At 41.5% G+C, this 26,198-nt stretch overlaps 1 protein-coding gene across 17 annotated transcripts in view; it reads left to right on the top strand.

Moving 5' to 3' along the window:
- PLCB4 (phospholipase C beta 4) overlaps positions 1-26,198 on the top strand; it is a 412,131-nt gene that overhangs the window by 245,158 nt on the left and 140,775 nt on the right. For 16 of the 17 annotated variants that reach the window (XM_024451898.2, NM_001377134.2, XM_005260724.3 and 13 more), the window contains 3 exons: positions 23,291-23,371; positions 24,173-24,232; positions 25,059-25,202. In XM_024451898.2, coding sequence (XP_024307666.1) covers positions 23,291-23,371; positions 24,173-24,232; positions 25,059-25,202 — 285 coding nt within the window. Of the gene's footprint in view, positions 1-19,441; positions 19,736-23,290; positions 23,372-24,172; positions 24,233-25,058; positions 25,203-26,198 lie in introns of those variants that run through there. The other variant, XM_017027884.2, reaches the window with a different exon arrangement.

The following is a 26,198-nucleotide window of genomic DNA, read 5'->3' on the forward strand; positions in this document are numbered from 1 at the left end:
TGAAGCCCTTTCACTCTCACCCCTCCACTTTCTTCCACTTGCATATTGTGATGAGAAAGGTGGTAGAATGATCTCCTTGTGGTGTGAGAGGAGAGGAAGGGGCAGCAGGGCTGGGGGACTGGCCCCAGAAGCCTCAATGAGGAGGCCCGTTTCAGGCTGAGTCTTGATAGGTGAGTCAGTCAACCACTCAAAGCACAGCTAAGAGGAAGGGAGAGGCCAGGGCTTCTGCAAGGGCATGAGTATGACAGCACATTCTATTGAGGGGGTAAGGGGATTATTCAGCTAGGGCAGAGGGTAGGGCAGTGGAGTACAGGGGTGAAGGCACAGAGATGGCCAGTGTCCACACCATCAATGGGTTTACTTTCCAGCCCAGGGCATTGGCATTTGATTCAGAAAGCTCTAGGGAACCTTTGATGGGGTTTCAGCAGGGCAGTGATCAGTTCTGGATGACCAGTGACAAGTGGATGTGGCTGGATTCCTTGTGGGAGTGGTCTGGAGGGTAGTGTTGGGCTTGAAGGACTTAATGGACAGTCAGTCACACATATGGAGAAATACGGGAGGATTTTGAGTGTAGGAATAAATGAGAAGATTTTTCTAACCTGGTGGATGTAGAGTATGTGAGAGAATAAGTGTAGAATGAGGTTGGAATTTCTAGCACGGGAACTGGACAGCTCTGATGCAAGGTGGAGAGAATGCCAGAGAAGGGGGTACATGTATGGATGCATTTATATTGTTTCTTTCTGAAATGACGAAGAACCAAAAGCAAAAGTGATATCTTCTGTAGTACCTAAGAAGCATTTTGTATATAATCACATTAATACTAGTTAAAAATACATTGAATAGAAAGGGAAGAACGTAATAAATGATCCAAGAGGATGAACACATGGGCGCATCTTCCTCTCTCAGTCCTCTTCTCTCAGGGTGATTGTTGCTGCCTGATGGGATGAAGGAATGAGGACCCCAAGACCCTCACAGCCACAGGCTTCCTTCACTCACCCTCTTATGTGGGTGATACTGCATTCCTCAGGGTAGAGGAATTTTTTTTTTTTTTTTGAGACGGAATTTCGTGCTTGTTACCCAAGCTGGAGTGCAATGGCACAATCTCGGCTCACTGCAACCTCCGCCTCCTGGGTTCAAGCAATTCTCCTGCCTCAGCCTCCCAAGTATCTGGGATTACAAGCATGTGCCACCATGCCCGGCTAACTTTTGTATTTTTAGTAGAGATGTGGTGAAACCCCGTCTACATAAACAGAAAGTCTATTTACACAGAAAGGTTTGAGGAAAAAGAACCTCTGACAGAATATTCTGAATTATAATTAGGGGTAAGATCGTAAATGTGTATACTTATATGAGTCTTTCACACACTCTGTATATTGTATGTGAATTATCATATTGGAATCATTAGGCTACAACAAGCTATATAGCAACTTAATGATGATAAACAATCTTGAGTACAGTTGGCCCTTTAACAATTCGGAAATATTTTAAAGACATTACAACTTAATCCATGGTGCGAACCACTGCTCTAGAAGGCTGAGATAAAGCAATGAACAAGACAAACAAAGTCTCAGTCCTTTGGGAGTGTATGGTCCAGCGGCAGGAGACCAACAATAAACCAATAAGCATAGAAATGAATGGCTTCCAGCAGTGTTCAATACTCTTATGTTACTAAAAGGAGTGATAGAGGGATCAGAGAGACAGGCAGACATTGAGGAGTAGGGGAGGGGACATTGCTGTGGGTTGGGTGGTCAGGGCAGGCCCTATTCAGGAGGTGGCATTTGAAGTTGTAGCTGAATGATAAGAAGTAGCTAGATTGGCCAGGTGCGGTGGCTCACACCTATAATCCCAGCACTTTGGTAGGCTGAGGCGGGCACATCACCTGAGATCAGGAGTTCGAGACCAGCCTGGTCAACATGGCAAAATCCCATCTCTACTAAAAATATAAAAATTAGCCAGGCATGGTGGTGCGCGCCTGTAGTCCCAGCAACTCAGGAGGCTAAGGCACAAAAATCGCTTGAACCTGGAAGGCAGAGGTTGCGGTGAGCTGAAATTGCACCACTACACTCCAGCACTCCAGCCTGGGTGACAGAGCGAGATTCTGTCTAAAAAAAAATTAAAAAAAAAGAGCCAGTTTGGCCAAGAACTAAGGGAAAAGCATTCCAAGACATGGAAACAGCAAATGCTAGGCTCTGAGGCAAACATAGTCTTGGCATGTCGAAAGAAGAGCACCAAGGGTGGAGTGAGCATCATGGTCAGGGCATGGTAAGAGGAGAATTCTGAGAAGCAGGCAGAAGCCCCTCATGTGGAGCAGTAGTTCTCTCAAAGTGTGGTCCCCAAGCCAGCATCATCAGCACCACCCAGAACCTTATTAGAGATGCGCATTCTCAGGCCCATCCCACGGACCTATGGAATCAGAAACTCCAGGAACTGGCCCAGGCGTATGTGCATTAACAAGCCCTTCAAGGAAGTCCGGTGCACACTTAAGTACGAGAATAAATGGTGTAGAACCAGGCCGAGGTGTTTGGATTTCGTTCTGATTGCTATGGGAAGCCATTTTCAACAGGGACTGGCATGATCTGATTTATATTTTGGAGACAGTTACTCTGGAGGCCGTACAAAGGATGATTCGTAGGCGGGGGCCAAAAGGTTGGAGAAGACCAGGACTTTAAGGAAGGTGAGCTAGAGGCTTAATCCTTCCTTTTCCTGACTATGTCTCCATGGGCGATTTTCTTAATATCTCTGTGCCAGAAAAATAGGATATGTTAAGGTGGATGGGTCGAAGAATATCAGTTGTTCTCCTTAGGATTCTACGAGTCTGCACACACTTTTCTTGTCAGCACAGCTGTGTGACTTCTTCCTGATGTGAGAAGAAAGCCAAGGCCAGGCATCTGAGCACCACCTCAGTTGGCCCGAACACTGAAACAACCCAAAGCAGCAAAAACTAAGATCAGCCAGATTTTTGCAAAGAAAAACCCAAAACAACATTCAGGCCTGTTCCTTCCTCTAGACCAGCCTTTGAAATAACAGTGCTGATAATATTATCTGGTCTCTCATGCTCCCAAAGCTCAGAGCTCATTGTCATCCAAGCATGAGACCTTTAAGGAAAGGTCTGTATTGTAGGTCATCTCATGCTGAAAAGTCATAGAACTGGGTCAGCATACTTTTTCTGTAAGGGACCACATATTAAATAGTTTAGATTTTATGAGTCCTGCAGCCTCTGTTACAGCTATTCAACTTTGTCATTGTAGCCCAATAGCAGCCATAGAACATAATATGTAAAAAAATGAGCAGGCACTTGGATTAGAAGACAAACAATGCCACATAGAAATGAGTAACAAATTGGTTTTGATGGTAATGGTAGTAATGAAATAATTCTAGTTTCAAGTAATTATTTTTACTCCTCGTGTTCTTTTACTACTGTGTTGTATTTTTAATTTAGTCACCCTCTATTTCTCTTCCTTATCTTGATAGATCATTGTATCAGTTTATCACCTTTTGCTGCATACATAACAGACTGCTCACCTTTCTTTTCTAAGATGCTCTCATTTTTGTGGGGTAGGGCAGGGGCTTGCTCTTCTCATTTTCATGTCTCTTCCCTCTCTGAAGTTTCTTTGGGCTTGCTTTTATTTCTTCACAAAAGTAGAAGATAACTCTATTTCCTGGAGGAATGGAAGCATCTCCCCCATGAAATAGTGTCTCAGTCAGTTTCATGGAAAATGGTAATCCTTGAGATCCATGCTTCAAGGATGCAAGAAGGACGTCTTATTCATGGAAAAATGTGAGATGCATCCATTAGGAAACTAGACAGGGAAATCTGGGGTCCCACTAGATTTACAAGGAGCTTGTGGAAACAACACAAGACAGGAAGAAAGTATGGAAAAAATATGGGCAATTAAATTAAAATATAAGTGTAAGCACCTAGGGGTTCTTGCTGCCAGCTGCACAAAGAAAGAACATGGCATTGTAGTAAAGAAAGAGTTTGGGCAGGCGTGGTGGCTCACGCCTGTAATCCCAACACTTTGGGAGGCAAAGATGGGCAGATCACTTGAGGTCAGGAGTTGGAGACCGGCCTGGCCAACATGGTGAAACCCTGCCTTTACTAAAAATACAAAAATTAGCTGGGCTTGGTTGCAGGCACCTGTAATCCCAGCTGAAAATACAAAAATTAGCTGGGCTTGGTTGCAGGCACCTGTAATCCCAGCTGCTCGGGAGGCTGAAGCAGAAGAATCACTTGAACCCTGGGACACAGATTGCAGTGAGCCCAGATTGCGCTATTGCACTCCAGCCTGGGTGACAGTGACAGAGTAAGATTCTGTCTCAAAAAAAAAATAAATAAAAATAAAAGAGTTTAATAGAGACAAGGCCAGCCACACCACTTGAGAGATGAGTTAGTATTCAAGTCATCTTGTCCAAAGCTGCTAGTTTAGGGGTTTTTTAAAGGCAGTTTGAGGGAAGAGGAGGTGCGGGGTCTAGGCTTCTGCTGATTGGATGGGGCAGGGATGAAATCATGCTGAATCGCTTCTGGGTGGGGCCATAGGAGTGGGGTTGGCAAGTCCAGGTGGGTCCAGGTGGAGACATGGGTGTGAGGCATGCAAAAAAAACCTGAAAAGATATCTCAAAAGGCCAGTCTTAGTTTCTACAATGGCAATGTTATTTGCAGAAGTAACTGGGGACATTGCATGTCTTCTAACATCCAGAATAATGGCTGACAGTCATATATGTCTGCACCTTAGCAGGACTCAGGCCCTCCTCTCAAACAGAAGTGGTTGGTTTTTGGGCAATGCCTGTTATCATTTAAACTGTAGCCTAAACATCTCCCAAAGTTACCTTCATCCAAAAGCCCAGGAATAATTAAGGAAAAGGCAAGGTGGGAGGTGGGTTAGCTTAGCTAACTGTTATAATTTTTCTCACTGATACAATTTTTGCAAAGGCAGTTTCATAAGGAACTAGCTGAGGATCTACTTAGGTCTCTCAAGTACTACTGTACTATGCTAAAGAATTAAACACAATGGCTAAAATTACAGTGCTGATTCTCTATTGCTTCTTCTCAACCTGCAGTATAAAGAGAAAAATGCTCAATATTAGCTACCTCAAGCCGTGTCTGTGGGCCGCAGGTGAACAGGAGGGTGTTGGCCAGGGCATCCTTTTAATTAGGGTTGATGAGTGCAGTCTTGCAGATCATCAGGCTAGTGGTGAAGAGACCCTAAGGACATCCTGGTTTCATTCTCTTTGCACACCTCTTTGGAATTGCACTCTCTTAATGCATGTGGTGTAGCCATTGAATTAACAGAGTTCATTCAAGTGTGGACAAATGAACAGTCAGATGAAATATACAGCACATGTTAAAATGAATTCTTTTTTCTGTTGAGCAGTCTAGGGAGAAGAAATTTTTTTAAAAAATCAAGTTAATAATTTTGAAGTCCCTTCTCGATTGATAAAATTGCACTTCTTTAAACCTGTGCAATTTCATGCCACTGAATTCCCTATTCCTGAAAATTTTCAGAAATTATTTTTGTCATTACTTGTTTTGGTTGTTTTTGAGAGGGTGCTGTATTAGTGAGGGTTCTCCAGAGAAACAGAGCCAATGGGATATATAGAGATATATAGGTAGGAAGAGATTTATTATGAAGGATTGGCTTACACAATTATGAAGGCTGAGAAATCTTATATCGTCTGTCTATAAGCTAGAGGCCTAGGAAAACGAGTAGGGCAGTTCCAGTTCAAACCTGAAGGGCCAGAGAACCAGGGGAGCCAATGGTGTGTAAGTGTCAGTTGAGTCCAAAGGCCCCAGAACCAGGGGCATCAGTATCCAAGTTGAATGTCCCAGATCAAGACAGAGTGAATTCATTCTTCCTCCACCATTTTGTTCAGTTCAAGCCCTCCGTGGATTGGATGGTGCCCTCCTGTATTCGGCAGATCTTCTTTATTCATTCCATCAATTCAAACACAAATCTCTTCCAGAAACAGCCTCACAGACACACCCGGAAGTAATATTTCATCAGCCATCAGCCTTAGCCCAGTCAAGTTGACATATAAAATTAATCATGACAGGTGTTTTTTAGCACAGACAGTAGTAAATCACTACTACTTTGAGCACTCACTAGGTGCTGGACCTTGCACTTGACAAATGGTATAAATGATCAGGAAAGTATCCTGATCTAGACCCTAAGAGAGAGGATTCTTGGATCTCGCCCAAGAAAGAATTAGAGGTGAGTGCACAGAGTAAAGTGAAAGCAAGTTTATTAAGAAAGTAAAGAAACAGAAGAATCGCTATTCCATAAACAGAGCAGCCCTGACAGATGCTGGTTAGCTATTTTTATGGTTATTTCTTGATCATATGCTAAACAAGTGGTGGATTATTCATGAGTTTTCCAGGAAAGGGGAAGTAATTCCTGGAACTGAGGGTTCCTCCCCTTTTTAGACTATATAGGGTAACTTCCGGACATTGCCGTGGCATTTGTAAACTGTCAAGGCAGTGGTAAGAATGTCTTTTAGCATGCTAATGCATTCATATGAACATATAATGAGCAGTGAAGACAACCAGAGGTCACTTTCTTCTAGCCATCCTAGTTTTGGCAGCTTTTGGCCGGCTTCCTTAGTGCATCCTGTTTTATCAGTGGGGTCTTTGTAACCTGTGTCTTGTGCTGACCTCCTCTCTCATCCTGTAACTAAGAATGCCTAACCTCCTGGGAATGTAGCCTAGTAGGTCTCAGCCTCGTTTTACCCAGCCCTGTTCAAGATGGAGTGGTTCTGGCTCCAGTGCCTCTGATTTAAGCATTATTTCACTTAAGCCTCGAAACAACCCTGTTTTAAGTAGGTCTTTTTAGCTTCCTTTTGCAGTTTACAAAACTGAGGATTAAAATGGTTAAGCATGTTGCTTGAGGTTTCACAGGCTGGTTACAGACTTAGCAGAAAAATGGCCTGCCAGCTAGCCTACAGTGGATCTCCAAGTATGGTTTCAGACAGCATCAGCAACATTTGTGAGCTTGCTAGAAATGCAGATTATTAGGCCCCACCCCAGACCTACAGAATCAGAAACTCTGGGGGGAGGGTCCAGCAATCTGTGTTTTAAGAGCCCTCTCAGTGATTCTGATGATGCAGCTCAAGTTTGAGAACCTAGGCCTAGGGAAAGGTAAGGAATTGTAGACTTACTAGAAGGAAACAAAATTAGATCCATTTAAAGTTCTTTACAGCTAATCTTCCTCAAACAGGCAACACAGAGAAAAGGGTGAAGACTGTTGAATAAAAGAGACTTCTTTATCTAGGCTGAACATATTAGATTTATTGAACCCTTGACACAGTGCAAAGTACTTGACATCAGTCATCTCTTTAAACCCTCAGGTGGTGGTGAGGGCTAAATGAGATTTTCCACAGTTTACAGATGAGGAAAGAGAAGCTTAGGTCACTTAAGAATTGCTTGTTAATCAACATGTAGTACGTGATGGAGCTAGCGTCCAGAACTAATGTATTGCTAAAGAGAACATACACAGGTCACACAGCTTTATGACCCAGAATGGCTGTCAGCAGAGAAACATGTTTTTGAAGATATATATGATGTATAAAATACATAATTAAAAAGTCTTTCTAAAGTTCATTAATAGGCTGGAACCAAAGACCTGTTTAACTTTTTACTCACCGTTTGCATTACTTATTCTAGACCATAAGTATTATACTACTAAGTCTAGGTGTCTTTAGTCTAGTTCTCTTAGGGAAATGAGAATGGGAAGACTGTATTTTTCATATAATTTCCCCCACATTCCCCAAGGAAAGTGTTTACCAGGGCTTTTTTAGGTTTTTTGTTTTTTGTTTTTTTGAGACAGACGGAGTCTCACTGTGTTACCAGGCTAGAGTGCCGTGGCATGCTCTGGGCTCACTGAAACCTCTGCCCCCCAAGTTCAAGCGATTCTTCTGCCTCAGCCTCCCAAGTACCTGGGACTACAGGTGCGCACCACCATGCCCAGCTAATTTTTGTATTTTTAGTAGAGACGGGGTTTCATCATGTTGGCCAGGCTGGTCTCGAACTTTTGACCTCATGATCTGCCTGCCTCAGCCTCCCAAAGTGCTGGTATTACAGGCGTGAGAGCCACTATGCCTGGCCTTTCTTTTTTTTCTTTTTCTTTTTTTTTTTTTGATACAGGACCTCACTCTGTCACCTAGGCTGGAGTGCAATGGCACAATCATAGCTTACTGCAACCTCTAACTCCTGGGCTTAAGCAATTCTCCTGCCTCAGCCTCCCTCCCGAGTAGCTGAGATTACAGGCAGAGCCACCACACCCAGGTAATTTTTTTTTTTTTTTTTTTTTTGTAGAGACAGGGTCTCACTATGTTGACCAGGCAGGTCTTGAACTACTGGGCTCAAGTGAGCCTCCTGCTTTGGTCTCCCAGAGTACTGGGATTATAGGCATGAGCCACTGTGCCTGGCCCCTAGTCTTTAATTTTTGAGGGGGGAGAAAAACTAGGTAAAACATACTATATGGAAAGATTATAATATTTTCTTTCAATTGATGGACATAGACATAAAATATTGTCAGCGAGAAAGCCTATCTTTTTAATATTTATTTTGATAAACTAACAAGGAGCATATAATTTATAAAATACTTTCTCTTAAAGCCATAAATAGTAAGCACTTGCTCCGAAATGCTGCTTTGTCAAGAACGTTAATTGAAGCAGATGAGCAGAGTCAGTATAGCTTCCCAGGTCCAGCCTGCATTCCCTTTCTACTGCAGAGTTACGCTGAGGACAGCATGCTGGCACCTCCACGGCTCTTCTGCTGTCAACTTTTCTTCTCCCAAGTACCTGAAAGGGCAGGTGATCCTCTTAACTTTGTAGACATGTGAAAAGGAGACTAGTTTTTGAATGCTCACCAAAAGCCAAGTTGCCAGGATATTGTTTGCAAATACAGAAAGGGTTTTTGTACTAAGTGGTATTTAAGGCAAAATCTTTGCCAAAGAACTCTATCCAAAAGCTTGAAATACACATAGTTGGTTAAGGGAATGCATTTGGAGTTAAACAGAAATAGGTTCAGTTTTGGCTTTGCTACTCAAGAGATGTGACCATGAGTCAGTCTTAACACCCACCAAGCACTAAGCCAGAGCTTCCTTGTTTGAAAAATGGGAGTGATAATACCTACCTCGCATTGCCATCATAAGGAATAAGTAAGATGGATTTTTTAAAAATGGAAGTCAGATTATGCCCTTCTTTTGGTTTAAACCTTTAATGGGTTTCTACCTCATTCCAAGTAATTTCCAAAGTTCTTTCTGTGTCCTGCAAGTCCCCTACATGACCTACCATTTCGCTGTCCCATTGATATTCCCTGAGCATTCTAGGCACACTCTGACCTCAGGGCCTTTACACTTGCTGTTCTCCCTCTGGACTACTCTCCTCTGTACAGTCCTCATGGTTCACTTCCTCACTTCATTCTGTTTCTGCTAAAATATCACATTCTCCAAGAGGCCTTCTTACTCACCTACACACACAGGCTCCTGACCCTTCTGGATGTTTTATTTGTTACATTTATCACTACCTGATAACTTACTCTTTTTTGTTCATTGCTGAAGTCCTTCTAGAAGATAAGCCCTGAGAGTAGACTTTGTTTCCTGCTGTATCCCCACCAGGGAATTAATTCATCACTCAACATATTTCATAAGTACCTACTATGATCCAGCAATTCCTTAGTTACTTATCTGAGACTGAAATTCATTGATATTTCCATGGTTCCTAATTTTTAAGGAATTTTAAAGCCCCAAAGAACTGGAACTGAAAATGTCACTTTGGAATGTGGAGAAAGGTTAAGCCAGAGACACTATCTGTGGCAGCTATGGAGGTGTGTCGCTTAAATCTCCCTTCAAGAGACAGCTGCCCCAGGAGTCCCCTCATTGGACAGTTTTGCTGCAGGGGCTTCAGCACCCTCAAAATGTCCCTGCCCAGGCTGTACTGAACATGGCAAGCTGCTACAACCGGGCCTTTCCTGCCCAAGTGAGGCTCCTCTGGTGGGCGTTCTGTGCTCTGCAGCTGCAATCCAGCAATGTTCTCAGCTGTACTGCAAGCTGAGACAATTCCTCCCCAGTTCTCCCTGCTCCCTCCTCTCCTCTCTCAGGTGTTTGTTCTGAGGTCTGGTTTGGAGGCTCTCCCTGTCACTCGGTTTCTCTCCCCTTTCTCTTTCACAGGCATTTGCCCTAATGAATTGCTCACATTTCCAATTCTGTCTTGCCTGTAATCTCAGCTACTCAGGAGGGAGGCTGAGGCAGGAGAATTGCTTAAGCCCAGGAGTTAGAGGTTGCAGTAAGCTATGATTGTGCCATTGCACTCCAGCCTAGGTGATAGAGTGAGGTCCTGTCTCAAAAAAAAAAAAAGAAAGAAATTTAAAAAAGAAAGGCCAGGCATAGTGGCTCTCACGCCTGGCCAACATGGTGAAACCCTGTCTCTACTAAAAATACAAAAATTAGCTGGGCATGGTGGCATGCACCTGTAGTCCCAGGTACTTGGGAGGCTGAGGGAGGAGAATCGCTTGAACTCGGGAGGCAGAGGTTGCAGTGAGCCCAGATCATGCCACAGCACTCCAGCCTGGTGACACAGTGAGACTCCGTCTGTCTCAAAAACAACAACAACAACAACAACAAATCCTAAAAAAGCCCTGGTAAATACTTTCCTTGGGGAATGTGGGGGAAATAATATGAAAAATACAATCTTCCCATTCTCATTTCCCTAAGAAATGTCTTGGGGGTTTGTTTCTAGATGGAGAAGCCCTTCCCTCAGGGTAAGAGGTCCTCAGGATAAGCCTCCAGGACTCTGCTGCCATTTCCTGAGGCCGACTCTGAGCTCACTGCAGAATTCTCTAGGTGGTAGCAGTGGTTCTTGTGTGATGTTCCAGTAATTGCTGCACTTATTTTAGACACAATAAAAAGTGACAGAGCCAGCATTGACCCTAAGAGCCAGTGGGGACTATGTATCTTCAAGGCCTAAATATAAGCTATTTCAGAAGACAAAAGTCCAACTGGAGTGACGTATCATGCAGCTCTTGTGGAAAAAAAAAAGCATTTTCAAAAGCTGCATTATTTAAATGAGAAATGCATATATTTAAAGGGAAGTTCCATAAAAGTCATTTGAGATTCCTTTTCTTTCAATGACTGTATTCAGCATTGTCTATTATCTCCATATATCAATAGTTTAAAATATTTTTTCATAGACCTGCCTTTTCAGAAACATCTTCTATGTCACTGTATTTTTAATTACTTGCTCAGTGTAATTTATTATGCTGGAACTAATTGTGTTTTAATTAGAAATGCTTTGCTAAAGAGAAGAACTTATCAGTTTGCGGCGGTGTTTCCGGTGCAACTACAAAGCACGTCTCCTGTTTTTCTTAGGATTTTTTTATAAGGGGACAGCCACATAATGTGTTTTTAATATTTGTTGTAAATATTTATTAAGAATCCTGTTTACTTGCCTCCATAACTCTAAGTTGTTCCTCTTTAATTTTTCCTTATTTTAGTTGCTAAGGCAACTGTTTTGACTACTGTGACAGTTTTCCTGCCCAAGAAAGTTACTTTGAGTGACCACCCACTCCTCTTGAAAACACATTTTGCTTTCTCCTTCCTTCTGCACTCTGAGAGGTAGTTGTTGAATATTTTAGGAATAATTTCTTCACCTCTTTTCTGGCAAGAGTCAGGGAACCCTCCCAGAATCTGAGCATCCAGATTTTGCCTCACAATCCTCACAGCAGAGACACTTCAGGGAGGGAAAATTACAAACCTAGACAGATCCGGAGTGTTCAGCCATTCAAACTGGCCTGCCTCACAAATCAAGTCCCAAAGATTTAACATCTATATCGTCAAGTAAAAGATAAAGTGGGAATCCCTAGCTATTAGTGACCATAAAGTCAATCGTTAGAAACAGTTTGGCCTCTCCCAGGTGGCTAATCTGGGCATTTCATTTCTCCCCCAGATTCAATCATAGTTAAGCTGATTAAATTCTCAAAGAACCAAGGATATTTCTGAGACCTTGTATCTAAGTTCTTTCAGGCTGCTATAACAAAATACCATACACTCGGCAGCTATAAACAACACATTTATCCCTCACACTTCTGGAGGCTGCGATGCTTAACATCAAGGTGCTGGTAGATTCGGTGTCTGATAAGAGCCCATTTCCCGATTCCAAGATGACACGTTCTTGCTGTGTCTTCACACGGTGGGTGAAAGGGGCAGCCGTCTCTCTGGATTCTTTTATAAGGGCACTAATCCCATTTATCTCCCAAAGGCCCCCACTTCCTAATTCCATCACATTTGGGATTAGGATTTCAGCATAGGAATTTTTGGTGGGGTAGAGCACAAACATTCAGACCATAGGACCTTGGTAAGCACCATCAGGCCAAATTTTATTTTATTTTTTAAATATATAATATGAGAGATCAGAAAAGATGGTGTACCTTCCTTTGTTTCTTTTCAATAGCCTTCATCCACTCTTCCAAGCCAGGTCACTTAGAAAGTTGATGATGTTCTTTATTCCTGAGGTAAGAATAAAATGAAAGGGGTGGATTAAATCTTTCTACTTGACACCAGAATAAGCGTTCTCTGTATCTCACTGTCATTGCTGGAATGAGCACTTTAAATGCTCATGGTTGATTACTGAGGGAGAGACGTTTTCATTTTTGTTCCTATTGGTTTTGAAATGAAAGATAGACAGCAGGTTTACCACCTTTTGAAGTTGCTGAATAACTCACTTCATTGCCCTCTTGTCATCTGAGAACGTGCTCTGTCGTGTCAGGGAGGTGCAGGGCAGAGTCTCCCCAACCAGGAATGACCTCTTCTGTTCACTATACCCCAACATGCACTTGAAAATAAAAACTGTGTTGTGATGGCTCGTCTGTGGCAGCAGCTTCTTGGCCTGATTGTAGACTGAGGCCAGCTTAGGCAGAGTGGGATGGAGGAGTTGGAGCAGGAACAAACAGAAGATGACCTTCTGTGCAGAAACCACATTTTCAACAAGTCTAAGTCAACCCAGAGTTACGAACTCTGGGTTTCCCTTATGCTTAGCTTTGTATTCTAGCTCACTGGAAATAGACATGCACTAATACCATTGCTCTTTTTAAAGATCTGTGTAACAGAAATGGATTCCCTGTCAAAATGTATTTGTATTTCTGCCTCATATTATATATTATCTGCATCCTCTTGGGTGACTTGCCTCACCTCAGTTAGGAAAAGTTTTCTCATCTGTAAGGTAGGGATGGTGGTGTTTACCTCATTTGTCTTTGATGGTTAATAATAATCAGTACTAGCAACATTATAATGATTATTATTACTATGTTTTATATTAATAATCAATACTGGGCCAGGTGCAGTGGCTCATGCTTATGATCCCAGTGCTTTGGGAGGCTGAGGCAGGAGGACTGCTTGAAGCCAGGAGTTCGAGTTCAGCCTGGACAACATAGCGAAACTCTGTCTCTACAAAAAAAAATTTTTTTTTTTAATTAGCCAGCCATGATAGTGAATGCCTGTAGTCCTAGCTACTCATGAGGCTGAGGCAGGAGGATTGCTTGAGCGCAGGAGTTTGAGGCTGCGGTGCTATGATTGTACCAGGAGTTTGAAGCTGGAGTACTATGATTGTACCACTGCACTCCAGCCCGGATGACAGCAAAATTCTGTCTCTTAAAAAAAAATCAATACTGGCCGGGCGCGGTGGCTCCCGCCTGTAGTCTCAGCACTTTGGGTGGCCGAGGTGGGTGGATCACGAGGTCAGGAGATTGAGACCATCCTGGCTAACACAGACAAACCCCATCTCTACTAAAAATACAAAAAATTAGCCAGACGTGGTGGTGGGCGCCTGTAGTCCCAGCTACTCGGGAGGCTGAGGCAGGAGTATGGCGTGAACCCAGAAGGCAGAGGTTGCAGTGAGCTGGGATCATGCCCCTGCACTCCAGCCTGGGTGACAGAGCGAGACTCCATCTCGAAAAAAAAATAATAATAAAACAAAATTAAAAAATCAATACTAATTTACTTAGTTCAGACTATGTGTCAAGTGCTCTAATGCCCAGAAATAACCTGTGAGATAGGTATTGTGGTTGATGTTGTTGTCTCTGTTTTTAGAGATGAAGAAATGAATATCTAACCACATTTGGATCAGGTTCATCTAAAACCCTAAAGCCTATGTAAAATACCCAATTGTTTCTGCTGCTGGTGAGTTGGTTTTTATGCTTACATGTTTCTCTCACCTTCCACAGGAAGCTGTAATGTGAAATATGTACCACCAGATAAAATAACGGAAGAGGGATTTAGATTGAAGGGAAAAAAGTAAACAAGGGAGAGTACATCAAATGAGGGGTAAATTTAGCAGGCAGCAACTCAACAAGCAGCGAAAATGATCTGTAAAGTTGAAAGAGGTGAGCCTCAGATTTGCTTCTGGTGTTCCTGGTGGCTAAAGCAATGTAGAAAACACAAGTTGTTGTAGGGTTCACAGTGTCCATTAGATTGTAAGGAAAGCAACAGGTCAGTAGGAACAGAGTTTTTCCTGGTCCTAGGATCTGAAAAAAAATTCTTACAGAATTCTTACAAAATACACTCCCCCATAAAAAACTGTAATAAGTACAGAATGTTTCAGTAGTACAGTTGTTCAGTTATCTATGTGGTAGGATTCACGGGGAATCCATAAGAAATGCAGTAATTAAAACCAAAACACTTCAGAAACCCATCTGATCCTTTGTGATGATTGCTGGCATCAGTGGCAAGGAGAATAGCAGAGGCTTCTTCAGGTATGACTGCTGAGCAGTTACCTGAGCCGACTGCTGAGCAGTTACCTGAGCCCACTCCTGAACACTGTCAGTCTTTCATGTGTCAGCCTCAAAGCAGGTGTAGCATATTGTTCAAAACATTTGATCTGCATGCCTCAATGTCCTCACTTGTAAAATAGGTATAAATAGTGAAGCAGCGTTGTTTGTCTGGGGTAATACCCGAGGTTCGTTGTCCCACAGCCATGGAAAGCTAGGACGTGGACACATCAGAGTGAGGTTAAGAGTGGAAGTTTAATAGACAAAAGAAAGAGAAGAGCTCTCTGCACAGAAAGGGCTCCTGGAGAAAATGGGTTGCCACTTCCGCAGTGAAATGCAGAAAGTTTAATAAATGAACTTAAGGAGGGGGTATGTGATTTACACAGGGGATGAAAGATCGGTTGGAGGAGGCATGCCATTTGCAAGTGTGCAAAGAAGCTGGCCACTCCACCCTAATCTTTTATTATGCAGATGGTTATTCTAGCTGGCTGGTGCCATGTTGCCTCGTCCTTATTGTACACGTGGTGACAAAGAAAAGGGAAGATGGAGCCTCCGTGTTGAACATACCTGGCTTCCAGGTAGCCTTCTCTTGGCGCAGCTGCCAGCATTCACCTGTACAAGCTTCCAGCTTGTTTATCTATGTCTGTAGCTCGGTTTTTCAGGCTGCTCTTTGTTAGAAAAGAAATGATTTGGGGGCTACTTTTATTAAAAGGGAAGCCTTGCCGAAGACTCCTTGTACTGACACTATCTGCCTAATAATTTCTTTCTAGCTCCTATATCAATAATAAAAATGGTACCTCCCTCATAGGAATGTTGGGAGGATAATAAGTTAATGTAGAGAAAGTACTTAGAGCGTTGCCTGGCTCTTAGGAAGCACTGTGTATGTTACCTAGCAATAGTAGGCATATTACTAGGTGCCACAGGCCTTTTGAATTGCTCATCAGGAGACTAGAACGGCATCTCCCTGTTGGATTCCAGCTGAGCATCAGTTACTGGTGGAAGGGGGAAAGGTCTATATTTAACAACTTAACCCAATAGGAACATCTGTCCAAAGAATCAAAGGCCATCAAAAGGAATGCAGGAGCTACACATGCTGTTATTTTGTCTGACAGATTTTTTCACAAGGTAATACTTGTAGCACATAGCAAGGGTCTGTGATGGAGCAGCTACAGCCGTGCCCTCTGGCTCCTCATGTGGAATGTGAGCTGAGAGGCCCAGTGTCCTTTATCTCCTGGGATCTTAAAGCAGATAGGAGAGGCACAAATGGAATGAACATTCTATATCCTTCCAAGCAAGAGACCAAGCTCATGAGGGTAAAAGCAACTTAATAAGGACCCATGCCCATCTATTACATCAGTCCATAAATCATTCTGATGGCAGGATGTTATCACTGAGGGCTTTAGTTTAACTTGAAAAAAATAAAAATTTGTGGTTCTGAGAGAGGCGGTGTTTGTGCAGAATCACAAAGGATCTGCTAGGTATGAAGCTTAAAGCATTTCCCTGGAATAAGGAGAGGAAATAAATAAGCCATAAAGCATCTCTTGGGCTCTGAGCTTTCAGGATCTGATAGAAAGCTAGACCTCTTGGTTAATTCCAAACCAGACTCCACCTGCTTTCCCAGTCTGAAGGCCACACCCATCATTCTCCCTGGTTTATGAGGTCTCTTTGGTGGTAGTCACGCATAATGTGATTTAAATTGAATGAGATCCTTTATGGCCTCTTCCTCAGACTCCTCTTTGTTTCTCTCCAACCTTGACAAGGTCTTTTTAACTTCCTCTCCATTCTTATCAAACCAGGAAGCAAGGAGGGTGAGTCTCATATGTACCTAGTGGAGTCTACCTAGGCAGTGTTCGTTTATTGACCGTCCAACAATCTTCTGGCGATAGGCAGAGGGGCCCTGCTTGGTCAAGTTTGCCCAAGTCAGACAGGCATGGGCTTTGGAATCAGAGAAGCTGGCTTGAATTTCAGGTTTGTTACTATTTGACTGTGGCTTTGAATAATTTAGTCTCCTCTGAACCTTTTTCCCCCCTTCTCTCTGAAACCGCATTGGCCAATATGGTAACCACTAACCACATTGTGGCTGTTTAAATGAAAAATTAATTAAAATAAAAAATTCAGCACTTGGTTGCATTACCCACATTTCAAGTGCTCCCTGTGGCTCATGGTGAACGTATTGGGCAGAACCCATCTGGCACATTTCCATCATCACGGTAAATCCGTTGGACAATGTTGATCTAGTCTAAAACCTTGCAGAGTTATCATGAGATTTATGTGAGATAGTATTTGTGAAATACCTCACAACAAGAGCCCTAAAATTGTAGCTATTTTCTCATAAGTACGACCATTTAGTCAGCATTTACTTTGTCCCAGGTACTTAGACATTCTCAATATTAATTCTTTGAAAGCCCTGTGAGTCGGTATCAGTTTTCCCAGTTTACAGCTAGGAAAAGTGAAATATGGCAAGGTTAAGCAGAATAACTGCAAGATTCTCCAGCAGTTGCCTGGTGAGGAGGCTGACATGCAAACCCAGGAACCAACCACTACAAGGCCTGGATCTCAAAACCACTGTGGACTGCCACCTCTTCTGAAGGTTTTCTTTCCCAGAAAACGCAGTTTTGTGATGGAATGTGAATGCCTACTCCATTTCACATTTCTCTACGTCCTAATGTATCTGTCCAGTGACAAACACAGAAAAGCCCCTGGCCAACTCATGTTTAAATAAGGTAGAGTTAAAGCTTTTATGATCTGGTCCAAAATAGCTGTCCCTAGCTGGTAATAAGACTTGACTATGCCCTATTTGAAGATGCCAACTCCACAGTATAAGATACAGACATTTGCAGTTAACTTAGGAAGTGATGGCGAGAGAGAGGGCAAGAGAGAAAGGGTAAGAAATAACTACAACTCACAATTAAAATAAAATCAGCTACCACTTAGCTGTATCCCCATCCAAGGAATTTCTCCACTTCAATCAGAGTATTTGGCCTGCTGAACTCTCTGACATTCCTTATGAGGGGATTAAACTTTATTGAACAGAATCACTTTAAAAATTGAAATAAAGGAAAAATGTTTAATGTTAGTTGATTTGAAAGTAACTTGAATCTTTGAAAAATAGGTTGTGATATTGATTAATGTTGAAACAGCATGTGTGAGGGAAAATATACTAAAAATAACACACAAGTGAAAAACATACTCTATCTTTGATAAGAGAGGGAAGTGTCTCTGTAAGCCTGTAGTGGCACAAACCCCTCAGAGTGGGGATCTCTGAGCCAGAAATAGCTTCTAGCAATGGTGATCTCCAGCAAAAGTGATTCTAGACTCTCAAACAGAATGCCCTCTGGCCTCTGCTTAAGTAGTTTCACAAAAGGTGTTCCTGTCCCTTTCTAGCCTTGCTCTCTAGTGGCCTAAGAGTTGGGCTGGATGAGCTAACGTGTCCTTGAGCTCTAAGGCGTGACTGATGAATTTTAACTAATATGAGAATTAAAATTCTGCCCACCCCCCAAGGAAGTTCTCTTATGGTTTGTTTCTTTACCAGAAAATTCTGTTACCATTTAACTGCAAAACAAATAGATTCCCAAAGGAGAAACATTCCAGCTTTCTTTTATGATCTCCCCTGCAGGGCCCAGATCTGGAGGAGGATTTTTCTGACAATGGGACTTCACAATAGCCTGGCCTCAATCTGGTCAGGGAGCCATAGCCCACTTTCAGGTCAGGAGGGATTCATGTGAAATTTAAAACTGCTGTTAGGGAAAAAAGAATAGACATGATGTGTCTTTACTCACCAGAGGGTAGGGTTATTATGTTTGTTAGTAGGAGGTGGTGAGAAACCAAATTAGATTGTGTTTTAGTTCCTTTCAGCTGATTACCTCTCATCCCTCAGATTTGCTCTGTGAATTTTCATGGGTGGTTTGAAGCATTTGGTCCAAGAACCTTTCAGCCACAGTTGATGAGCTGATTGTGGGTTTTGTCGTGAGCCTGGTCTTTAGTGTCAGCTGGGTTTCATTCTAAGATCCCCCTGGAGAATTTCTATTCTGATAATTGCTTCTCTTAACAACTGATACGTTTTTATTTTATGAGCTGGATGGGCACCTGGTAAATATTTTTTTTCCCTTTTTTGCTTTTGTTGCTGGGGAGCCCAGAGCCAAGTTGCTATCCTGCTATAACTGTGTAGGACCTTATGACAGGCATTTCAGAGAGCTGCCTTTTACTCTGGCCTTAGTTTACTATTCCACTTTATTTTTCTTCTCTTTGCCCAGATTTCTCATCCTATTTTGAAAATGATTTCTTCACAGTGTCAAACAGTGCTCCTGGTTCAATAGGAATTCCCAGGACGTGCCTCAAAGTCACCCCCAACCTCGAAGATGAGTTTGTATGCATTACAAAAAGGGACTCCTGCCTTTAGGCAGACGGCCTCAACCAGTGCCCTTGTAATTGCACTTCTATCCTTGGCAGTCTTCCAAGGACTTCCTTGTTGGGTTCTGGGCCTGATGCAGCCCCCTCAATTTGAGCAACTTCTTGTTTATTTGTTTTACATATTGGCCTGCTGCAAAATCTTTTATTTAAAAAAATTCATTTTTTCATTTATTTTTAAGTTAATTTGTTAGTTTTATGGTGCTTTTGATGTGCTAGGTGCTAGAACACAAAGGTAAACAAGACTGCTTCAAGGACTCTGCCCTCTTGGAGGTTGTTGCATTCTGGTGTGGGAGTCAGTCAGTAAATCAAGGATCAGGGAGAGCCTCTCTGAGGAGGGGATAATGAAGACAAGGTCTGTAGAATGAAGAGGAGCCTGATGCACCAAGGGCAGTAGAAAGAGACTTCTGAGCAAGAGGAACTGCAAGTGCAAAGGCCCTGATGCTAGAGAGAGCTTGAGGGGTTGCAGGAAAAGAGTTTTTATGGTTGTGAACAAGAAATAGAAGGAAGAACAGAGAGTGGCATGAGATAAAATTTGAAGGATCCCAGATCGTTCAGGACCTTTTCGGCCAGGTAAGGAGTTGGGATTTTATCCTAAATATGATAGGAATCCATTGAATGGTTTTAATAAATTCATTCAAAGTTTAAAGAATCAATCTGGCTCCTATGGGCAGCAGAAAAAGCAGAAGTGAGAAGATCAATCCATGGGAGAGATAATATTGGTTTGGGCCAAGGTGGGTGGTGATGGAGAGGGAGTAAAGTGGGTGTGTATTCGAAATATTATAGAAGAAGACTTGCTACTGAAAGTGAGAGGAAAAGATGAGGGAAAATTAAGGATGACTCTTAGTTTCAATAAGTGACCAGATGCTAGTGACATTTATGGAACTAAGGAAGTACTGTGATGGAGAAACTTGGAGGGGAGAGAATAAAGAGTTCAGTTATGGACATACTTATTTCAAGACATCCTAGTGGAGATGTCAAATAGCAAATATTTGAACTCACAGAGGAGAGGATGGGGCTGCTCTTACAAATTTGAGGGTCATCAGGAAATAGATGATATTGTAGACACAAGATTGAATGAAATCTAGGAACACAGTGGAAATGAGAATTCCCAGAACCAAGTCCTGAGGACTATGTAAAAGTTGAGTACAGAAGGAAAAGGCGGGAAATTAGACTAAGGTAATGGAGCACAACCAGGATTGGAGAGTGTTTCAAGAAGGAAGGAATAATCAAACTCTCAGAGATCAACTCAGGTGAGGAAAGGAAGGTGTGCACTCCTATTTTGCAGCATGCTGGACTGGCCAGAGAAGTTTTAGAGGGTGATAGAAATGGAAGCCAGATAGAGTTGCTCAGATGGTATGAAGAGAGGTAATGGAAACAGTGAATATTTCTAAGATATTATGTCCTGAAGAGGATCAGGGACATGGGGTAGTAAGTGGGGTAGTAAGTAACCATTGAGAAGGAAATATAAGATTAAACGTCACTGTTGACTATCCATTTGAGGTTTATAATCTTGAATTTAAACTAAAGCCAGACAGTTCCATTTTGTGATTTTCACCACCAAGTTTGGTGATAAAGTATGCATAAAATAGACTTCGTTTTTTGGCCAAGAAAACACTAAATGAGACATGGAAGTTGCGAACCACCTGTGAGGGAGTGATTGCAATATTGGGCTGCTTTGGAAATAAGCTAGATAAGGATGGAAGTAAAAGGAGGAGGGAACTGGTGCGTAGTGAGAGATTGGCAGGGATAATCAAAAGGGATATTTGACTTTGCAAAGAAGTCAAATATAGGAGGGGAGAACTGTAGAGCTAGGGGCTAGAAGGACCAGATGGAATTCCAAGAGTGAGATATTAGGAATTGAAATGTCCAGGTGGTAATGGCAAGCTCTAGGGGTACTCAGGGGGGAAGGAAGAAAAGAATTTTGTATTTAAGGAGGCCAAGGAAGTGAAAGTTCACTCTCAAAATAAGTTGGAAACCCATTCTTATTTATTATTTGTATTTCATGAATCATCTCAAATCCTTACTTGGAATTAGGTGATAGGGTGCACATAAGAATGATAGTGGCTGATTCTTTGTGGATCTACTCTGTAAACACCATTTTACGATGTACTTTTGTACACTGTGTACCAAAATTCTTCATTGCCGTCAGGATATTCATTGGGATATATTTGGAAATGGGCTAATTCTTATGTCTTGATTAGTTGATAATTCTCATTTTTTTAGTCAGTAACAACATAAGACCCGCCATGGCCTTTTGGGTAATAGCTAATGCTTTTCAGGTGGCACGGAAGACCCTTGCAATGAAACAACTCTTCTATACATGTCCCATCACACCCCCTGTCATTCTCTTGAAGTGCTCTAGCCACACAAACAAATTTCTAATGTGAGGTCAATAGCTGCTCACTCTGCCTGGCATGAAGATTCATCTAAAGTATCAACTTCTGGGTTAAGCCTTTTCTAAAAGGTTGAACTGTCCAAAAATGCCATTTTGAAGGGTCAAAAAATGTCATATACTGGCACTTTCATATTGTTAATAATTTGCTACCACTATTACAAGTCTGAACCATGCATTGTTGGTAGAGCTATTACTTGCTGAATTGGAATTCTGTGTTATGTGCTTTATGTTCACCATCTCATTTAATTCCAGCAATAAACCCAAAAGGTAGGTGGAACTACTTCCACTTGTTAGACAAGGATTCTGAAATTTAGAAAGGGTCTTTCTGGGAGAGAGTACATAACAAATGGTGGAACTGGGTTTTAACTCCTAAAGCAAAAATTATACCATGCCCTTTCCTTTGGTCTTATTCATGGCAATGACAGCAGTACAGAGCACACGCCTGATACAGAGTTGGAATACATAAATACATACAGTAATACTTCATCTGCCAGAAAACTACCCAAATTGAAGGCTGCTTTGTTCAGGGACCCCTAGGACTACTTTATGATGGCCTAGTATCTTGGCATTGGATTTACCTTGATAAATGTTGTTGTTCCCCTGTAATTTAGAAAGATAAATTTTAACAGGTGAAACTAAGAGTCTGAACGGCCCTTAAAACCTTAATCCTGTAATTACTATTTATTTGTTTTAAGGCACTGCCTTGATCCATGTTTGCCAGACAGGTTCCTAATTGCTGGCATTGAAATGATCTAGGAAGCCAGTTTCTTCAGCTCATGAAAAGAACATGTAGATTTGTTGAAGTGTGAATGCTAAGTATTGGTGTAATGCAGTCAGAGGGCACAGGACATCTATGTTCATTTCCCAAATGCCCTTTTTCTTTCATTCACATGGATTTTTCCTCTCATTCCTAAGCACAGTGGTGCTCTAATAAGACAAGAAGTCAGTTGGCAAGTGTAACACAGATGCTCTGATGCCTTGAATTTGGCTAATATTGCTTCTTCATTCAAACGTCATTCTGTAGCTTTCCCTGAGTTTCTGGTGTCAAAATTCAAAGCAATGGTTGTCAAACTTTCGTGTGTGTTCGAATCTTCTAGAGGGCTTGTTGGAACACAGATTGCTGGGTCACATCCCCCCAGACTCTGACTCAGTCCATCTGGACTGGGGCCTCATATTCTGCAATTCAGTAAAGCTCCCAGCTGATGTTGATGCTGCTGGTCTAGTGACTACACTTTAGCTCTAGGGGCTGTTCAAGATGCGCTTTACAGGACACCAAATGAGGTTAGATAAAAAAGCAAAAATCTCAGCAAATATCTGAATGCTAGATTTTACAGACAAAAAAAAAAAAGAAAAAAAACACAAAACAAAAACCAGTGACTTAAAAAATAATGTATCTCCTGATTTTTGACATCAGTGGGCTAGAACTTGGGAATCCTTCTTCCAAGATATTAAGGAAACTTTCTTCTCTATGACTTTCATGCTTTCAGTCAGTATGCTTTGTTCTTAAACCTATCCTAGAGCAAGATGTTTTATTAAATTGATCAGTTTTACAATACAAAATTGAAAGCAAAGAGTTTTCAAAATGAAAACATTCCATAATACAATAAGAATTGTGGATATTACATACAAAAGAGTGATTTCTAATTTGTTTAGAAGCTCAGCAATATTTTCATTTTTATTAGATTCAAAATGGTGTGAGTCATGAAGATCAACACATTTCTTTTTGACAGGAATCCTTTGTGTTTGAACCCAACTGCCTCTTCAAAGTGGATGAGTTTGGCTTCTTTCTGACATGGAGAAGTGAAGGCAAGGTATGGCCCAAGAAGAGCAAGTTGTTCTTTCTGCTTTGTGGTTTAAGCCATTTTGTTTCTCAACAAGTAGACTGAGTGCTGTTGATGAACCCTACCCTTATTCATTCATTCAAGATTTTTAAAAATGTGCCTACATGTGCCAGGCATTGAAGTATACAGTGATGATTAAGGACATTATCCTCATAGATTCCAGTCTAGGAGCAATGTCAGGCATTAAAAAATAAGTTACAAGTCATTGAATGTTGTGAAAGAGAACACTGGATTGTCAAAGAGCTTAATTTAATCTTGGGAGTTAGAAAGAAATCTGCCAGAAGAAGAGATGCTCAAGCTGAAATCTAAAAGGTACATTAAAAGTGTGTTCATCTCATTATACCCTGGGACTTAATTCGATGTATGGTACAGTGTCCACATTTAATGAACAATTGAGCTGAATTTAAGAAAAGAATTAAAGTTATATAAAAATTAGCATTTTTCTCACATTTCATGTACACACATGTATTTAATGATTATTAACAATGTTTTATATATAAAAGTAACAGATTTTAGAAACATTTTTATATTCAGCATTGCACATATATATGTCTATATGTATGTATATATATATATGTGAAATGGAATACTTGGGGTCTTGATTATTTCTGATTATTTACAATAATTATTGTTACATGGTTTTAATTCCCTCTTCAAGCTGACTGTAATCAGCACTGCCTTCATCATCAGAAATTTTTGCCAAGCAGTTTGCCTGTATCATAGGTATGGCATAATTTAAGCTCATTGCTGTGTTGTATTCTCTCTCTTCAGGAAGGACAGGTGCTAGAATGCTCCCTCATCAACAGTATTCGGTCGGGAGCCATACCAAAGGTACCTGTGATTGGTATTTGCTTTTCTAAACACGGATTTACTTATATTGGAAATGGCCATGGCTTCTAGAGATAAAAAACTCACTCTTTGTATCCAGGCTACTTAAAACATTTGATCTCAGTTTTGAGAATAGCATGTGGTTGCTGGTTGTGGTAATGTCACATTTATTCACATGAAACCTCTGTGACTCTCCTCTGGTGAGAGAGAGGCTTTGTGGACAAGCAGACCCTAATAAAAGGCTCTTCTATCCAATTGCCATATTCCAGGTCCTCCAATAACTACAATCAAAACTCTAAACAAAGACCCTCATATCTAGTTTCTAAATCAAAAATTTAGGCCAGACACAGTGGCTCACACCTCCCAGCACTGTGGGAGGCAGAGGGAGGCAGATCCCTTGAGCCCAGGAGTTTGAGACCAGCCTGGGCAACATAGTGCAACCCTGTCTCTACAAAAATTACAAAAATTAGGGTGTGTTAGCATGTGCCTGTAGTCTCAACTACTCAGGAGGCTGCGGTGGGAGGATCCATTGAGCCTGGGAGGCAGATGTTGCAGTGAGCTGAGAATGCACCACTGTTCACCAGCCTGGGTGACAGAGCAGAGACTCTGTACCTCCCCCAACCAAAAAATTTGTAATACCTTTCTTATCAGTTGATTTCAAGGAATATATAGTGTTACAAATTTCACCTCTACAGGTTTTAGAATAATGCTAGGTGTCTGGGCCCTTATGTTTATTTTTACATTAAATGTGGTTTCTTTTTACCACGTTTCTTCCTCCATGCTCTGTGATGTAACTTATTTTTTTTTCTATCTGTGTACCTCTATACAGGATCCCAAAATCTTGGCTGCTCTTGAAGCTGTTGGAAAATCAGAAAATGATCTGGAAGGGCGGATAGTTTGTGTCTGCAGTGGCACAGATCTAGTGAACATTAGTTTTACCTACATGGTGGCTGAAAATCCAGAAGTAACTAAGGTAGCTTCAGTTAAATGGCCTCCTTCTCTTCCCCACCATGTATATATGTTGTGTGTTTAATTTTATGCGTGCTATATTTTTATATACTTAAATTGTATGGTAATTTAAAAGTTAGCATTGCTTTGCTGACATGTTTCTGTAGAAAATCAGCAATTAAAATACCCTTTTAGCATGTCACTCCTGTGGGCCAACAACCCAAATACCTACTACGATATGTTGTAGGGATACTAGTCCAGCACTTCTCCAACTTGAGTGTATACCAGAATCCCCTGAGCTCTTGTTAAAATGCAGATTCTGATTCAATAGGTCTGAGGTGGGGACAAGATTCTCCTTTTCTAACAAGCTCCCAGGTGGCATGGATACTACTCATCTGACAACTACAGTTTGAGTGACAAAGGTCTAGATCAGTACCACCCAGTAGAAATGCAATGTGAGCCACATATATAATTTAAATTGTTCTTGTAGCTGGGTTTTAAAAGTAAAAAGATACAGGTAAAATTAATTTTAATAAAATATTTTATTTAACCCAGTAGACCTAAAATATTGTCATTTTAATAGGAGATCAATATAAAATTTATTAGTGACATATTTTACATTCTTTTGCTCATACTAAGTCTTAGAAATCTGATGTGTATTTTCAAATCAGACTAACCACATTTTAGGTGTTCAGTAGCTGCATATGGCTAATGGCCACCATACTGGGTGGGCAGTACGGGTCTGGATGGTTAAGAAATCCAAACCCCCCCTCCCAATAAGTTATTAAAATATTGGGTTAAGATCAGTCTTTTAATACCATATCCAGCATACCATTGCCCTGGCAAGTGAGTCTCAAAGAGACTTCTCGAAGAAGTAGAAAGCCTCGTAAATATTTTGTCTGCTAATCATGTGTTTACAGGGTGATTTTACCTCTGTACAGAGCTCCCATTATCTTTCTGTAATGTGTGTGAAAAGGACTAAGCCTTCACTTTCCATGGCAGAAACATGGGTTTGGGGGAA

The sequence above is a fragment of the Homo sapiens genome, chromosome 20 (genome assembly GCF_000001405.40).
Source record: "Homo sapiens chromosome 20, GRCh38.p14 Primary Assembly".
NCBI classification, from domain to species: Eukaryota; Metazoa; Chordata; class Mammalia; order Primates; family Hominidae; genus Homo; species Homo sapiens.